Source organism: Homo sapiens, chromosome 7 (genome assembly GCF_000001405.40).
Source record: "Homo sapiens chromosome 7, GRCh38.p14 Primary Assembly".
In the NCBI taxonomy this organism is placed as follows: Eukaryota; Metazoa; Chordata; class Mammalia; order Primates; family Hominidae; genus Homo; species Homo sapiens.
In genome coordinates, this window is record NC_000007.14 from 140,962,024 (window position 1) to 140,981,414 (window position 19,391).

The window sequence follows — 19,391 nt, forward strand, 5'->3', positions numbered from 1 at the left end:
AGGTCAGGAGTTCAGACCACCCTGGCCAACATGGCGAAACCCAGTCTACTAAAAATACAAAAATTAGCCAAGCATGGTGGCAGGCACCTGTAATCCCAGCTACTCGGGAGGCTGAGGCAGTGAGCCGAGATGGTGACGCTCACTCCAGCCTGGGCGACAGAGTGAGACTGTGTCTCAAAAAAATAAATAAAATAAAAATAAACAAAAAAAATATATAAAATTTTAGACTCACACCTGCACCCCTGCTGCGGGTCATGGTTCTTCCTCCTTCTCCTCATGTGGCTCTTGTTCCTTCTTGCACAGGTTTTTCTGCTGCCTAAAACTCCTCAGACAAAAATAAAACCTTGACAGAACAATAGAAGCTCCCCCAAAGCCTCCTGTGTGCACCTTCATCCCTTCAAATTTCACACTGTTCTAACACTGTGGACTGGCCTGTCCTCTATCTATCCTCTACCTGTCTATTTATCTATCTGTCTATCATATTATTCTTATTATTTTGTAGAGATGGAGTCTCACTATTTTGTTTAGGCTGGTCTTGAACTCCTGGACTCAAATAATCCTCCTTAGCCTCCCATAATGCTGGGATTACAGGCATGAGTCACAGTGCCTGGCCCAATCTGTCTTTCACATTATGTAAATAAACTGGAGTATATATTCTTTTGAATATTGCTTTTGCTTAATACTGTTTGTCAAGTTTATCCCTATTTTTTTATATACCCACAGTTCATTTTCATCACTGCACAATAGTCCATTGCATGGATATACCACAAGTGATATACTCTGAACAAAAAATCTATTCTGTTGATAATAGACTTTGGTATTATTTCCAGTTTTTGGCTATTAGGTGCTACAATTAACATTCTTGTGACTATGAAAACATTTCTCGGCTGGGTGCAGTGGCTCACGCCTGTAATCCCAGCACTTTGGGAGGCCAACGTGGGCAGATCACCTGAGGTCAGGAATTTGAGACCAGACTGACCAACATGGAGAAACCCTGTCTCTACTAAAAATACAAAATTAGCCAGGCGTGGTGGTGCGTGCCTGTAATCATGGCTACTTGGGAGGCTGAGGCAGAAGAATCCCTTGAACCCAGGAGGCGGAGGTTGTGGTGAGCTGAGATCACGCCATTGCACTCCAGCCTGGGCAACAAGCGCAAAACTCCGTCTCAAAGAAAAAAAAAAAAAAAGAAAAGAAAAGAAAACATTTATCTTTTCTCTTGGGTATAGATGTAGGAATGTTAACTTTGGGGTCAGAAGATTGGGTATGTTCAAACTTGTTAAATAACACAAGTTATTTTCTAAACTTCTTTACTGACTTACAATGCCATTATCAGTGTAGGAGAGTTTTCAGTCGATGTTCCAAAAACTTCTTAAGATTTTATATATATATATGTATATATATGTGTGTGTATATATATGTGTGTATATATGTGTGTGTGTGTGTATATATATATATTTTGTTGTTGTTGTTGTTGTTGTTATTGTTGTTGAGACGGAGTCTTGCTTCATCGCCCAGGCTAGAGTACAGTGGCACAATCTCAGCTCACGGCCACCTCTGCCTCTCGGTCTTAAGCCATTCTCCTGCTTCAGCCTCCAGAGTAGCTGGGACTATAGGGGTGTGCTACCATGCCCGGCTAACTTTTTGTATTTTTAGTAGAGACGAGGTTTCACCATGTTGGCCAGGCTGGCTGCAAACTCATGACCCAGGTGATCCGCCCGCCTCGGCCTCCCAAAGTGCTGGGATTACAGGTGTGAGCCACTGCACCTGGCTAAAAATTTTTTATCATATAAGTACCAAGTGCTAATGCACTTTGTACCCCCTGAATTTTTTTTTTTTTTTGAGACGGAATCTTGCTCTGTCGCCAGGCTGGAGTGCAGTGGCTTGATCTCAGCTCACTGCAACCTCCGCCTCCCGGGTTCACACCATTCTCCTGCCTCAGCCTCCCGAGTAGCTGGGACTACAGGTGTGCACCATCACGCTCGGCTAATTTTTGTGTTTTTAGTAGAGACGGGGTTTCACCGGGCTAGCCAGGATAATCTCAATCTCTTGACCTCGTGATCTGCCTGCCTCGGCCTCCCAAAGTGCTGAGATTACAGGTGTGAGCCACCGCGCTGGGCCATGTACCCCCTAAATCTATTTTTTAAATTTTAGATCATTATCACAATAGTTTAAATTTTCCTGATTACTAATGAGGTTGAGAATACCTTTTCCTATGTTCATCAGCCATTGGAATAGCCTTTTTTGGTGAAGTGCTTGTTCAACTCTCTTGCCCACGTTATTTTGTGTTGTCTGGCTCTTACTGGTTTGTAGGAGTATTTTTATTTTGGATACAAGCTCATTGTTAATTATATGTGTTGAAAATATCCTCTCCCACTCTGGCCTTTTTCTTTTCTTTTTTTTTTTTTAAATTAATTAATTAATTTATTTTTGAGATGGAATCTTGCTCTGTCGCCCAGGCTGGAGCGCAGTGGTGCGATCTTGTCTCACTGCAACCTCTGCTCCCCGGGTTCACGCCATTCTCCTGCCTCAGCCTCCCGAGTAGCTGGGACTACAGGCACCCACCACCACGCCTGGCTAATTTGTTGTATTTTTTAGTAGAGACGGGGTTTCACCGTGTTAGCCAGGATGGTCTCGATCTCCTGACCTCGTGATCCACCCGCCTCAGTCTCCTAGAGTGCTGGGATTGCAGGTGTGAGCCACCGCACCTGGCTGCCTTTTTATTTTCTTAAAGCCGTCTTCCAAAGAACAGAGTTTTGCTTGTTTATTTTATTTTTAAAAAATATATTTATTTTTAAATAAATTTATTTAATTGGTCGGGTAAGGTGGCTTACACCTGTAATCCCAGCACTTTGGGAGGCCAAGGTGGTGGATTACCTGAGGTCAGGAGTTCAAGACCAGGTTGGCCAACATGATGAAACCCCATCTCTACTAAAAATACAAAAATTAGCCAGGTGTGGTGATGGGCGCCTGTAATCCCAGCTACTCAGGAGTCTGAGGCAGGAGAATTGCTTGAACCCAGGGGGTGGAGGTTGCAGTGAGCTGAGATCACACCACTGCACTCCAGCCTGGGTGACAGAGTGAGACTCCGTCTCAAAAATAAAAAATATATATATAGATATATATAGTCACATTTATTGATCTTTTCAAATCTTACTAATGCTGTTTATATTACAGCCTAGGCTGTTGATTCTGTTCCATTGTTCTGTTCCAATTTCACACTGTCTTCAAACATCATGTTTTTAAAAGGTATCTTAGATCCCTGAGTCTGTAATAAGACTGAAAAAGGGGAAGGGGGGACATAAAAAATCTTTGTGTAATTATTCCATTGAACAAGCAGGACTCTCTGACATAGAATTGAACAAATTAATAAAATTGTTTTGTGCATGCAACTCTATGAAGTCCTGGCCCCTCGGCACCTGACTGCATGGCACATTTTAAGGTGGTTAAGAGTGAAGCCCCCTGGAGGGAAACTGCTCAGTTTGTATCAGAGCTTCACCACCTACTAGCCAGTGACTAGCCTTGATTTCCTTATTTGTCAAATAAGGATAATAATCATACCTACCACATGGGGTTGTTGTGAAGATGGAATGAGATAATACATACAAAGTTCTTAGCACAGTTTCTGGAAAATAGTAAGTACAAAATAAATGTTAGTAATTACCAAGTTTGTTGAACAAAGAAGTCCATCTGAAAACTTCCCCTGGTGTGTTCATGCCTCAAGTATTCTGGGGCTCAAATCAATTTAGCATCAAAAGACTTTTATTCTTCCTTCTGATCTAGCAAATCACAGAGACTTGGTGAATTAATTGGAAGGCAGACAGTGGCTTGCAGCACTTACACATTTGAAGCAGGAGCATCTGAAACCTATGACTGTCATTTTTCTAATCAGTATGTTTTTCTCTGTCCGATAATATTTCTGTGTTTATTTTTCTTTTTGAGGTTACCTTGCTTCTGCTCTAGTATTTGCCTTGAATCCTTTTTCTTTTCTTTTCCTTTTTAAATTATGAAATATTAACATCACAGAGAAAAATAGAGAAAATAATAAATCACCAGGTCACCCGTAACCAACCTATATCAGTGATTACTATTTTACCTATTTGCTTCAAATTTATGCTAAAAAAAAATAAGAGACATAGTTGAAACCCTTATGACATTACCCCCTTCCTTCTCCAGAGGCAAGCACTGTACTAAATTTCATGTTTATTCTTCGCAGGCATTTTTTATACTTGCACTTCATGTATACAAATATCCATAAACAGGATATAGAATGACTATGCAAGTTTTAAAAATTTATATAAATGATATAATAATATACTTACTACTTTAATTGAATATAATAACATTTACTATTTAATGAGTAATAGCAACATTTATCTATTAATCTTTTTCTTGATAGGTATTTAAGTCTTCCATTTCCCTTTTTTCTTGTATTACAAACAATCCTGCAATAAACATGCTTGTCTCTATTTTCCAGTTTTGAGTGCTACCTGATTCATGAGTTTTTCTTTGTTCAAACTGTTAAATTTGTCTAAAGTTTAATTTTTAACACTAGAAATAGCTTTACGGCCTGTATGGTTCAGCAGTCAAGAGATAAAGAGGCTAGAGCTTGGGTGCTTGGGTCAGACCACCTCCAATTGCTACCTCATATTTTCCTGTACAGATTCTTCTTCTCTTATGGAGCAAAAAAATATTATCCATGGACCATGTCCAGCTCGACATTTGGGATCTCTGGATGGAGGGCCATCCTTTCCATCAGGTGTGAACTTGGCTTCCCACAGTCCTGCAACCCATAGGCTTAAAGACAAATTGCCAATGTCCAGGACACCTAATATACAATGGTGAAGAAAACGAAGACAACTGCAACAAAAACTCCTGCTCAGAGAAAAGGGGAGAACGGGAAACTACAGCAATTACCAATCTTGACAAATTATCAAATCCTGCTGGGCAATTACTAAGTCCTGCTGGACAAGATCTGTGAGGACTCTCTGCCCTGGTTGTGAAATAAGTTCCTTGCTTAGCCAATCTGGCAGCCCCAGTCTTCTTCCTGTCCCCATTATCCCCTCATTGCATTGTAGATAATGCCCTTCTCCACCTGCTGGTACTATTGAGGGCCCATAGATTTCCTTAGGGTTCAATAGCCACGGGCTATTATCAGATTTGGATTTTTTTTTTCTTTTAAGACCAGATTACAAGCTTCAGTGTTTTTTGTTTTTTAATCAATACAGTTCTCTCTCAAACTCAGTAGACTTTTGGATAATCTATTTTCAATTAATTTTACATGCAAGTAACCAGAGCCCAGATATTTTCTAGACAGACTTCAGTCCTGAGAATGTTTGGCTGTTAGGCTGGCCTTAATGCTCTGCCAATCCCCTACCCTCAGAATTTAATGGCCACTGCCTTGAGGCATTCTTACGAACGTCAAGAGGACAACATCCTTAATCTCATCTTCTTCAGCTGGTGTTGCCTCTTTGCCTGGCAAAGCCATTCTTAAAATGAAGGCATTGGATAAAGTTCTGGGCTCCTGGGCATCCATCCTGCCAGGTCTGCTGCTGCAAAGCTCCACTGGTGGGACCTCAGGGTGAGGTGCTTAAGCATTAGGCCTTTTCAGTTTCACAAGTCTCTCTACCTCAGAACTGGAGGCTCTCTGCAGAGTGAGCCCCTGTTGACCATGCAGTTCTCCATCTTCTCTTTCCTCTCTGCTCAAATTCTGGCTGGCTTGAGTCTCAGTTTGCTCCTCTTTTGGAGGTCTTCGTTGAAGGTGGCAAGAAATACAGCTTCCCAGCACACTTGGAGGAAAAGCCAAAGTCTTTTCAGTCCAAAAGGCCTTTCCAGATCTCATTCCCCTCCCCCAGGACACACGCCTCTGCATCAGTTTTTGCTATCCTTCTGTTTGTCTCCATGTTCTTTCATGAACACTACAAGGACACTCCTGCTATTTTCCCTGCTTAGCCAGGGCACCCAGGTCTCCTCCTGGCTCCCTCTCTCACATACTTCAAGCATCTGTTTACCTGGCAAATTATCGGAGTTCTGACTCCTCATATAAAATAGCAATCCTATCTTGGGAACTACCTATCTCTTTTAATCTGTGAATTTGTTTTCCCATAGCACTTCTTAGATTATACATTATATATGTATTTGTTTATTACCTGTTTCCCCCACTAGAATAGAAACCTCATGAGGCCAGTCACGGTGGCTCACAACTGTAATCCCAGCACTTTGGGAGGCCAAGGCAGGCAGATCACTTGGGGTCAGGAGTTCGAGACCAGCATGGCCAACATGGTGAAATCCCGTCTCTGCTAAAAAAATAAAATAAAATAATTACCAGGGTGTGGTGATGGGTGCCTGTAATCCCAGCTACTCGGGAGGCTGAGGCAGTAGAATCACTTGAACCTGGGAGATGGAGGTTGCAGTGAGCCAAGATCATGCCACTGCACTCCATGAGAGCAGGGGTCTTGGTCAGTTTTATTCACCACTGTATCTGGAGTTTCTAGAACAATGCCTGGTATGTGGTAGTAGCAGCACATAGTAGAAACTCAAATATTAACTTAAAAAGAAAAAATACTGCATTGTGTCAACATTCTGAAATTTTCTTACTATTCACTAACAGTCAGAAGCCCTAGTAAGCATATGGTATATATTCCAAGCTATGGCTGGTGACAATCTGCTCAAATGTTTAATCACCATACACCAAATGTCGCCAGCTCTTCAGCCTTAAATGATTGGCTTCTTGGTAGCCTCTGGCCTACTTTTTCTTAGCTAATCCCCCAATTTAGTTTTTTTTTTCTTGCAGCTTGTCATTTCTGAAAAAATTCATAATCAGAAATATTTTGAGCCACAAGTAATAAAAAACTTCAGTGTGACTATTAAACAGAGCATTATTTGTCTCAAGCCACAAGATGTTTGAGGATAGATAGGCAGTCCAGATCTGATACAATGCATTCTCCAGGTCCAGGCTTTTTTAATTCTCTGAAACAGTTTGTATAAGATAGAGATTCCCTGGCAATTAGGTAACATTCTCTTGTAAAACTTCTGTGCATGGTGTCTGTTGATGGAGAATAATTTCCTATATCTTCTTGAGTCAATTTTTGTAATATACATATTTTTTTCAGAAATATATTTTTAAATATAAATTTTCATGTTAGCTTTTAAGAAAAAGATGGAAATTTAGAGTTCGTTGTTGATTTGTTTTTGTTTTTTTGCATCTCCCATTTTTCAAGTGCTTTTAACTCAAAATAGTCAACATGAGAGAGTGGAATATTTAGGGTGGTGTGTTCCAAATTCTTTCAATGCTAACAGTAAATAAACATGCTCAGCAATTAATATTTCAGGATTTTATTTTATTTGGAAATGATCTAAATATTCAATGACTATCCATCATTTAATTTAACTTAGTATAACTGCAGGGTATAAGTTACCAAAGAGATTTCTGAAACTATTTTTTAAAGTTTATTTATAAGCTTTAATTTTATATATGACTATTTAATTCACTTATTTTTAACAATTATGTTTGGATTGCTTATGAAAATTTTATGCGATACTAAATAACTAGCATCATTTTAAGTTATTTTTCTTGCTGATAAGTTTTGTAGCATAAAGATAACCTTTTTTAAATTTTATTTTTAACTAGTAAAACTGGGTAGAAGAAGTTGTGTGCCTGTATTACACTTAATGCTGATTACTCTGAAAACATGTCTGGTGTTTTTTAAGTTTTTTTCTAAACCAACAATATTTTTGTTTACCAAAGTTTTCCCAAGTCACATGAACTTAAAAAGTATATGGGTCATTTTCTATTTTCCTGGGAGTTTTAGGGATACTTAATTTATATAAGAGCTTATTATTATTATTATTATTATTATTATTATTATTATTATTATTTTTTGAAACGGAGTCTCGCTCTGTCACCCAGGCTGGAGTGCAGTGGCCCCATCTCGGCACACCACAAGCTCCGCCTCCTGGGTTCATGCCATTCTCCTGCCTCAGCCTCCCAAGTAACTGGGACTATAGGCGCCCACCACCACGCCCGGCTAATTTTTTGTATTTTTAGTGGAGACGAGGTTTCACCATATTAGCCAGGATGGTTTCGATCTCCTGACCTCACGATCCACCTGCCTCAGCCTCCCAAAGTGCTGGGATTACAGGCGTGAGCCACCATGCCCGGCCAATAGCTTATTATTATTATTAAAGCCAATTAAATAGAGCAATTGGCCAGGCGCGGTGGCTCACACCTGTAATCCTACTACTTTGGGAGGCCAAGGCGGGCAGATCACCTGAGGTTGGGAGTTCGAGACCAGCCTGACCAACATGGAGAAACCCCTTCTCTACCAAAAATACAAAATTAGCCGGGTGTTGTGGTGCATGCCTGTAATCCCAGCTACTCGGGAGGATGAGGCAGAAGAATTGGTTGAACCCAGGAGGTGGAGGTTGCTGTGAGTCAAGATCGCGCCATTGCACTCCAGAAACTCCATCTCAAAAAAAAAAAAGGTATTTTACAAATTAATTTTGACAATACTATGCGGTGGCTCATGCTTGTAATCCCAGCCTTTGAGAGGCCAAGGCAGTAGTAGTAGATGGCTTGAAGCCAGGAGTTCTAGACCAGTCTGGGCAACAGATGAGGCCCTATCTCTAGAAACAATTAAAATATTAGTTGAGTACAGTGGCATGCGTCTGTAGTCCTAGCTACTCAGGAGGCTAAGGTGGGAGGATCAGTTGAAGCCCAGAATTTGAGACTAGCAAGGGCAACAAAGTGAGATCCTGTCTCTACAAAACAGTTAAAAATCAGCCAGGTGAGTTGGCAGGCACCTGTAGTCCTAGCCATTCAGGAGGCTGAAGCAGGAAGATCATTTGTATCCAGGAATTGGAGGCTGCAGTGAGCTATGATCATTACTGCACTCCAGCCTGGGCAACAGAGTGAACAAAGCGAGACCTTTTCTTAAAAAAAAAAAAAAAAAAGAAAAGTCCGGGCGCGGTGGCTCACACCTGTAATCCCAGCACTTGGGAGGCCGACACGGGCGGAACATGAGGTCAGGAGATTGAGACCATCCTGGCTAACACGGCGAAACCTTGTCTCCACTAAAAATACAAAAAATTAGCCGGGCGTGCTGGTGGGCGCCTGTAGTCCCAGCTACTTGGGAGGCTGAGGCAGGAGAATGGCATGAACCCAGGAGGCAGAGCTTGCAGTGAGCCAAGATCGCACCACTGCACTCCAGCCTGGGTGACAGAGCGAGACTCTGTCTCCAAAAAAAAAAAAAAAAAAAAAAACCAGAAACTTGGCTGGGCATGGTAGCTCACCCCTGTAATCCCAACACTTTGGGAGGCTGAGGTGGGCGGATCACAAGGTCAGGAGTTCGAGACCAGCCTGACCAACATGGTGAAACCCCATCTCTACTAAAAATACAAAAATTAGCTTGGCGTGGTGGTGCGCGCCTGTAATCCCAGCTACTCAGGAGGCTGAGGCAGGAGAATTGCTTGAACCCGGGAGGTAGAGGTTGCAGTGAGCCGAGATCACGCCACTACACTCCAGCCTGGGTGACACAGCAAGACTCTGTCTCAAGAAAAAAAAAAACAAAAAAAAACCACAACACACCAGAAACTTTTAAGGTTTATTGATTGTCCTTGAAATAAAATTTTGACAGGGCAACTACCTTTGGCTGCCCAATTCCAGGGGCCACCATTCACAAAAACTACAATATTAAAGGCACACCATGGTATGCAGAGAATAACCAACATGAATGCCCTTGGTAGCCCTGATGCTTGGCCTGCAGAAACAGAACAACAGCAAGGACAGCACAACGAGGATGATCATTGTCAACATTCTATAGCACTTTTCTGTTTATACAGTACTTAACTAGAGTGTCTTATTGCCCATCTAACCAATGAAGTTACTATGGCTCTCCTCCAAGCTCCCCCCATCTTTTTTTTTTTTTTGAGAACAGAGTCTTACTCTGTCACCCAGGCTGGAGTGCAGTGGTGTGATCTCAGCTCACTGCAACCTCTACCTCCTGGGTTCAAGTGATTCTCCTGCCTTAGCCTCCCAAGTGGCTGGGATTACAAGTGAGCACGACCATGCCCAGCTAGTTTTTGTATTTTTAGTAGAGACGGGGTTTCTCCATGTTGGCTAGGCTGGTCGCAAACTCCTGACCTCAAGTGATCTGCTCACATTGGCCTCCCAAAGTGCTGGTATTACAGGTGTGAGCCACCACACCCAGTCTTCCCCCCATCTTTATCGATGTATAATTGACAAACAAAAATTGTATGTATTTAAGATGTACAGGTTGCTGTTTTGATATATGTATACGTTGTGAAATAATCATCACAATCAAGCTAATTAATACCTATCATCTCACATAGTTACTATTTTATTTGTGTGAGTGTGTGGTGAGAACACTTAAAATCTCCCTTCTTAGCAAATTTCGAGTATACAAGATAGTATGTTAACTATAGTCACATTGCTGTGTATTAGGTCTACAGAGCGTATTCATCCTGCATAAGTGAAACTTTGTACCCCTTGATCAATATCTCCCCATTTCCCCTCCCCCAGCTGCAGGCAACCACCATTCTACTTTCTGCTTCTGTGAGTTTGTCTATTTTAGATTCCACTTTCCTCCTTGTTAAGCACAGTTCCTGGGTTCTGTGAGCTTGAAGATGATGAATAAAGAAGGAAAACAGCAGGAAAGTAGGGCCAGCAGTAAAGCATTCACCTCATGCAAAATTTAAGGGGGCTCAGAATCAAGATAAAGATTAATGCAATTTTTTTTTGAGACAGGGTCTTGCTCTGTCACCCAGGCTGGAGGGCAGTGGCACAATCACTGCTCACTGTAGTCTCGACCTCTCAGGCTCAAGCAATCCTCCCAGGTAAGCCTCCTGAGCAGCTGGGACTACAGGCATGCACCATCATGCCCAGCTAAATTTTTTTTTGTATTTTTTTTTGTGGAGATAGGGTTTCACTATGTTGCCCAGGCTGGTCTCTAATTCCTGGGCTCAAGTGATCACCCCCCTCGGTCTCCCAAAGTGCTGGGATTACAGGAATGAGCCACTGCTCCTGGCCCTGCAATATTTTTCTTTAAGTCTAAATGCAAAACATCCAGGATGAACTGAATACCAAAAATGTAAACAAAGAAAGGCTGTCTGTTTTTGTTTGTTCTATGACCTTGAGTTATTGCTCAATGGGATCAGTGTTTCTGATCAGCCTGAGGTTCACGGGCTATAGGGCCATGGTGTCCCTTGATGGGTGGGTTTATGAAGATTTACGACGGCATGTGAACAGATTGGGCAAGCTGGGACATTATGTGTAATCACGGTTTTTTATTGGAGAGCCTTTATTAACTTTTCCACTTGGTTCACAATATGGGAGGGTATTTTGGTAAGTGTGTATATAGGGGCATAGATTTCCCTGTTGCCTCGGGCTCCAATAGGGCTTGGCATGGTACTGCAGGAAAGTTCTTATTTTACTGGTATGCTTGGAAAATGGCTTCACAACTCAGGGTCTGGCAGGGGTTTAAAGCTGACTTTTTCTCTCCTGGGACTCTTCTTGGGTGGTTCTCTAGAGGCTGTCCCTGGAACATTTGGCTGCATTTCCTGTGATGTGGGTGAAAGTAGTGATTCGACAGGTTGGTCAATTCTCTCTCTGGTTTTTCAGAAGTTTGCGCCATAGACTCTTGTCTTCTGATGTCCCCTCATTCTTTCTTGTGGTTCCCTGGGGCAGGATTTAAAATGGCAATCTGGCTCTCCACTGAGAGGGCTCAGTGAGCCTTAAAAACACTTACACATCCTTTGCTCTGACGCTGTAGGAGCACAGGCCACCTGCCCTTCACTCCCTTGTCTTTATCCTGCTTCTGCATGTAATGCCAGCCTGAAGTCTCTGGCTTCAGGACTTTCCAAATGGGAGTCAGGCACCAATCCACTCACTTGATGTAAAGGGAGAAGGGCCCTCCACTACTCCCCTGAGGTGGGCAGAGAGACAATCACAGAATCATATTCTGCAGGTACATGTACCACAAATTCTTCTCCTTTTAAAAACAATTTGCTTCCTTTATGCTCTCAATATAGGTCAAGGGTTGTTATGAGCCATGTTACCAGTTTTCAGGTATCTACTTTAAGACTCCTTTAGGATGGTTTGTCTCAAAACTCATTTTGGTATCTAATATCTAGAGCCTTGGGGTCTCAGCTGAAAATTCCATTTAAATATTTTGCTAAGTTTCACTTTTCTCTAAAGATTTGAACATGGTGAAATAAAAGAAGTAGTCAATTAAGATTCTTTAGCTCTATTCTTAGAGGCATAAGCCTACATTTTTTTTTTAAAAAAAAAAGACAGGCTGGGCGCTGTGGCTCACACCTGTAATTCCAGCACTTTGGGAGGCTGAGGTGGGTGGATCGCTTGAGCCGGGCGTTCGAGACCAGCCTGGGCAACATGGTGAAAACCGATCTCTACTAAAAACACAAAAATTAGCTGGGCATGGTGGTGCATGCCTGTAATCCCAGCTACTCAGGAGGCTGAGGCAGGAGAATTGCTTAAACCAGGGAAGCAGAGGTTGCAGTGAGCTGAGATGGTGCCACTGCACTCCAGCCTGGGCATCAGAGTGAGGCTCAGTCTCTAAATAAATAAATAAATAAATAAATAAATAAAAATAAGTAAGTAAATAAATTAAAAAACCCATAATATTTCAAACTGAAACCCCTGGGATCCTTGGGAATGGTGTGAGGATGAAGTCAATAGTGGGATCATCACCTGAACTGAGTGCCCTTCCCAAGTGATGGCCAACTCAGTTCAGAGAGGACAATGGTTCATCAAACTTCATTTTCTTCAGTATCTCCTATTGAGAAGAGCTAAAACTCACAGGTAAAGATTCCCAAGGTGGCAGTAGTTACAGTCTCATTATCAAATAAAATAAAATATATGAAAGACAAACTTGCAAGAGCTATTTAAGGATTCATTTTTATTATTAATTTTCGCTGAAAACCAAATTCTCTATATGCAATGTCAAAGTACAGGTCAGCCAAGTTTCTAAGTGAGTAATTTAAAAATCCAAAATTAGCAGAGTTCAATAAAGTAAGGTTTGGCAGTGAGTGTCTTTATTCTACTATATATATCGAATGCTAATCTTGTTAGGCGTTGCTGTGAAAGATTAATATTCAGCCTCAGGCCAGTTTATCTGTGCCATCTCTCTGTGAGCACTCCTTTTAAGATTTAGCTTATCAGGCTGGGCGCGCTGGCTCACACTTGTAATCCCAGCACTTTGGGAGGCCGAGGCGGGCAGATCACAAGGTGAGGAGATCGAGACCATCCTGGCTAACACGGTGAAACCCTGTCTCTACTAAAAATACAAAAAAATAGCCGGGCGTGGTGGCGGGCGCCTGTAGTCCCAGCTATTCGGGAGGCTGAGGCAGGAGAATGGCGTGAACCCAGGAGGCGGAGTTTGCAGTGAGCCGAGATGGCGCCACTGCACTCCAGCCTGGGTGACAGTGTGAGACTCCATCTCAAAAAAAAAAAAAAAAAAAAAAGATTTAGCTTATCTAAGAAAACCCAAGTCACGGTAAATGCTTCTCCTCAGGTTTATTTTCACATTTGAAGTAGGACAGTGCTGCAGAATAAACATTTATTTATTTATATGTCAGACTGATCTGACATTCATCCATTAAGCTAAACAATTTCTTCAGAGAAGCTTTTGGAGTAGGCCAGTGTCCCTTAACAGAACAGGAGATTCTTGAGGGCAGGGACCATTTGTATGTCGCCGCTGCTATATCCCCAGGGCCTAGCCGAGTAGATGCTCAGTGGTCACAGGTTGAATGAATGGATTCATTTACTCAATAATATGTGACAAGCCCAGTGTTCTGTACTGGGATATAAAGAAGAAAGACAAGGTCCCTGCCTCTCCAACAGCTGCTGGTCCCTTCGTGGCTGACGGACCAATGAACTGACAACTGCCATGCAGTGTGAAAAGCACTTTAGTAAGGTACGTCTAAGTTGTTTCAGGAACACAGAAGAGAAGTATGTAATCTAGCCTGGGTGAAAGCAGGGGGAATGAGGGAGCTCAGAGACAGTGTCCAGGAGAAGTGTTGCTTGAATTAAGTGTTTAAGGACAAGTAAAAATTATCCTGGTCAGAGGAGTAAAGTAGAAGCAATTGCATGGTCAAAAGGAAAGAGGCCAAAGGGCATGTTTGTGTATCAGTACTGTTCTAAGGCGGTGAGTCTAAGAGGTGCCCTGGGGGTGTGTACTTTGTGTGTGTGTGTGTGTGTGTGTGTGTGTGTGTGTGTGTGTGTGTGTGTGTGTGTTAGGCTGGAAAGGTTAACTGGTGCTTATTCACTTCCCTCCCATGGTTCTTCCAAAGACCCGCCACCCTATTTTCAAATAATGGGCTGAAACAGAATGTTTAACCCCTGTCTCCTCCATTCCCACCCATTCTCCTAAATCATCTGATTGTCCTTGATGCTGGTATCTACCTGGTCATGACTCCTTTTCTTTCCTCTCCCTATGTGGGTGTGACCTTCTCATTTGCATGGATCACAATCCTTGGTGCAGGGACCATCTCTGAATCAGCTCCAAGGTCACCCCAGAAGGGCGAGAGTCCTTCACATCACAAATGGCTATTTTTTTCCCCCTACAGAATCATTTAGTTCATTAACTTACTTTTCTATTTTTCTTTGCATTCAAAGGCACAATCTAAATATTCATATCTTAGTTTTATCTTTGGGAAAAGCCAGGAAGTGTACCACACAGCTAAGGCAATGGAACAGTGGAATACAACTGGGTTCCAGTAAATCCACTATCACTAGTAAGGTGTATAACTTTGGAAAAAAAAATTTTTTTTGAGATGAAGTCTCGCTCTGTCACCCAGACTGAAGTGCAGTGGCATGATCTCTGCTCACTGCAACCTCCACCTCCCCAGTTCAAGCGATTCTCCTGCCTCAGCCTCCTGAGTAGCTGGGATTAGAGGTGTGCGCCACCACACCCAGCTAATTTTGTTGTATTTTTAGTACAGACAGGGTTTCACCATGTTAATCAGGCTGGTCTCAAACTCCTGACCTTATGATCCGCCCACCTTGGCCTCCCAGAGTGCTAGAATTACAGGTGTGAGACACTACGCCTGGCCAAAAGTGGTTTTCTTATATTTAAAGCAAGAGTTGGACTTGTACTAGGTGCTAAGATATTACTCGGTTTGAATTCTTGACAGGCAAAGAGAAAATATTCTGCTTTATAAACAGGATGGGGGGAGGCAAATAGTACTAGGTCCTAAGATATTATTCTGTCTGAATTCTTGACAGGCAAAGAGAAAATATTCTGCTTTATAAACAAGATGAGGGGAGGGAAATTGTTGATACTGAGCAGAAACAGTAGATATTCCAAGTCACTTTCTCTCTGTCTCTCTCTGTCTGTCTCTCTCACATATACACATGTGCACACTGGATGGAAACAATTCAGTTCGAAGAAATCAGCTTAATAGAAGCCCAGCAGTGGGTGTAAGGTTAGCATTCTCCATAAATGTTTTCATAGTTGTACAGTTGTAATTAAGTTCTGCTTGAGAAAATTGGTTCTCACGGTGCAACCTGAGAACTTCCTTCGTGGCTTCTTCAACTCCAAAGCTTGAGTGGGTCTCTGTGTTCTACAAGTGGCCAATTTAATTTTTCATTCTAAGGTCCAAAGCACCTATGATACCACTGAGATGTGGTGTCACCTACCTGACCTCTCACTAATATGTGGTAGAAATTGGTGATCTGTATTTTTCAAAGGAAAAATAAGTACAAAATCTTTTTATATTTAGGTTGTTGAAGAATATCTTTTCATCTAAAGGAGATCTAATTACATTGTTTTTCTTCAAGGGGCTAGTTGGTTCTGCATCTCCAGTATTGTGTGTGCGTGCATATGTGTGTGTACCTGTCTCAAATAAAGTAACAATTCCAGTTTGGCAACCCCCTAATTGCAGGGATTGCTAAAAAGATTATTATGCATGTTATTGCAGAGAACTCAGCACCCTATAAAGTCATGTGGCAGGAACTAGGGCATGTCTCAATTTACCACATTAATATTGCAATAAACCAACACCTCTCTGTAAACATCAGGGTAAGGAGGACTACCTAGAGGCTGGCTTTGTAGGGTCTTCTAAAGAATTTTTTTTTTTTCAGGAAGATGGAGAAATCACAGTAGTTTCATTAATACATATTTTGTTCTTTGGCTTTTCTCCTTTTATTCCTTATTTTAATTTCTCTTTTATTCTAATTAGAAAAGTAATACATGATGACTATAGAAAGTTTTTTTTGTTTTTGTTTTTTTGTTTTTGTTTGTTTGTTTGTTTGTTTGTTTTTTGAGATGGAGTCCCACTCTGTCACCCAGGCTGGAGTGCAGTGGTACCATCTCAACTCACTGCAACCTCTGCCTCCTGGGTTCAAGTGATTCTCGTGCGTGTCACCACACCCGGCTAATTTTTGTATTTTTAGTAGAGACAGGGTTTCACCATGTTGGCCAGCTGGTCTCAAACTCCTGAACTCAAGTGATCCACCCACCTCGGCCTCCCAAAGTGTTGGGATTACAGATGTGAGCCACCGCATCTGGCCAGAAAGTTTTAAAAGTGCAGAAAAGTATAAAGAAGCAGAAATTAAATAAGTTGATATCCCATCTCCCAGTTAGAAACACTGCTAACCTTTGGAAACACTTTCTTCCAGTCTGTTTCCCCCTGCATTATAAAAAAGTTATGCCCTGCTTTTTACACGTAATATTATACAATATACATTTTTCTTATTTAAAAAATTATTATGCCTATCATTTCAAATGGCTAACTAGTGTTTTACTTATGAAATTTGTCTAAACAGACCCCAAGTGTTAGATGTTAAGTTAACGTCAAACTTTTCACTTGCATAAAAATGCTGCATTGGCTGGGTACAGTGGCTCATGCCTGTAATCCCAGCAATTTGGGAGGCCGAGGTGGGCGGATCATGAGGTCAGGAGTTCGAGACCTGCCTGACCAACATGGTGAAACCCCATCTCTACTAAAAAATACAAAAATTAGCGGGGCGTGGTGGCACGCACCTGTAATCCCAGCTACTCAGGAGGCTGAGACAGGAGAATCACTTGGACCCGGGAGGTGGAGGTTGCAGTGAGCCGAGATCATGCCACTGCACTCCAGTCTGGGCGACAGAGTGACTCTGTCTCAAAAAAAAAAAGAATGCTGCATTGATTATCTTAATATTAAAATATTTGTGCCTCCTTCGAGTCATTTCTTTAGTACAGATTATTAAAACTGAAATTAGGCCAGGCGTGGTAGCTCATGCCTGTAATCCCAGCACTTTGGGAGGCCGAGGCGGGTGGATCACTTGAGGTCAGGAGTTCAAGACCAGCCTGGCCAAATGATGAAACCCTGTCTCTACTAAAAATACAAAAATTGGCTGGGTGTGATGGCATGCACCTGTAGTCCCAGCTACTCAGGAGGCTGAGGCAGGAGAACCACTTGAACCTGGGAGGCAGAGGTTGCAGTGAGCCGAGATAGTGCCACTGCACTCCAGCCTGGGCAACAGAGTGAGACTGTGTCTCAAATAAATAAATAAATAAACCCAAACAAACAAATAAACAACCCCCGCCCCGAAATTACAGGATCAGAAAGTAGAACATTTTAAATAATTTCAAGTGTCTTTTTAAATAATTTCAAGTGTCAAACAATATACCCATGTAACAAACCTGTGCCCATACCCCCTATGAATCTAAAAAAAATCAAAGTTTTATTTTAGAATTAGGGGGTACATGTACAGGTTTGTTACATGGGTATATTGCATGACACTGAGGTTTGGGGATGTGAATGATCCTGTCACCGAGGAAGGGAGCATAATACTGAATAGGTAGTTTTTCAGGTGTTCCCCTCTTCCCCTCTCCCCAACTTCTAGAAGTCCCCACCGTCTATTATTTCCATCTTTATGTCCATGTGTGCCCAATGCTCTCACTTATAAGTGAGAACATGCAGTATTTGGTTTTCTGTTCTTGCGTTAAATCACATAGGATGATGGCTTCTAGCTTCATGCATGTTGCTACAAAGGACATAATTTTGTTCTTTTTTATGGCTGCCTAGCATTCCATGGTATACATGTACCATATTTTCTTTATGCAAACCATCATTGATGGGCACCTAGGTTGATTCCATGTCTTTGCTATTGCAAGTAGTGTTGCAATAAACCTATGAGTACATATGTCTTTTGGGTAGAATTATTTATTTTCCTTTGTATATATACCCAGTAATGGGATTGCTGGATACAATGGTAGTTCTGTTTTAGGATCTTTGAGAAATCTCCAAACTGCTTTCCACAGTGGCTGATCTAATTACATTCCCACCAGCAGTGTATAAGGGTTTCTCTTTTTTTCTGCAGCCTCACCAGTATCTGTTACTTTTTGGACCTTTTAGTAATTGCCATTTTGACTTGTGTGAGATGGTATCTCACTGTGGTCTTGATTCACATTTCTCTGATCATTAGTGATGCTGAGCATTTTTTCACGTTTGTTGACTGCTTGTATGTCTTCTTTTGAGAACTGTCCATGTCTTTTGCCCATTTTTTAATGGGGTTGCTCGTTTTTTGCTTGTTGAATTGTGCAAGTTCCTTATAGATTCTAGACATTAGTCCTTTGTCAGATGCATAGTTTGAGGATATTTTCTCACATTCTGTAGGTTGCTTGTTTACCCTGTTGATAGTTTTGCTGTGCAGAAGCTCTTCAGTTTAATTAGTTCCCATTTGTCAGTTTTTTTGGTCAGTTTTTTTTGTCAGTTTTTGTTTTGATGCAATTGCAAAGCCTCTTTAAACACATTACGAAATTGCTATTAAGAAAGGACATATTAGTTTTTATTCCTACCACCAGCAGTACATGAAAGAAACTGTTTCAGTACACCTTCAGTTTGGGGCATTCACATTTTAATACATCTTTGTTACATTGGCAGGTAGGCAAAGTATTATATATTTGTAGTTTTAATTATGTTATTTGATCATTAGTGAAGTTGATCATTTAATCACATATGCATTGTGTATTCATATTCTTTGTCCATTACTATTGAGAATTTAGAATTGTTTTTAATTTTACTCATTTGTATGAGCTTATTTAGTACTTAGTCCCTAATGTTTGTTTTCCTATTTCCCTCAAATGATTGCTTATATTTCAAACCTACACATATCTTTTTGATACACAGAAGTTTAAATATTTGCTGCAGTCCATCTTTTCAATCTTTTGTTTTCTTTTATTATTATTAATATTTTTTGAGACGGAGTCTTGCCCTGTCACCCAGGCTGGAGTGCAGTGGTGCGATCTCGGCTCACTGCAACCTCCGCCTCATGGGTTCAAGTGATTCTCCTGCCTCAGCCTCCCAAGTAGCTGGGATTACAGGCATGTGCCACCAAGCCCAGCTAATTTTTTGTTACAAATACAAAA

General features: G+C 41.5%; 1 long non-coding RNA gene across 1 annotated transcript in view; it reads left to right on the top strand.

Moving 5' to 3' along the window:
• The window catches only part of LOC105375536 (uncharacterized), a 68,680-nt gene that overhangs the window by 36,932 nt on the left and 12,357 nt on the right, over positions 1-19,391 (top strand). The gene's annotated exons all lie outside the window — the stretch shown is intronic.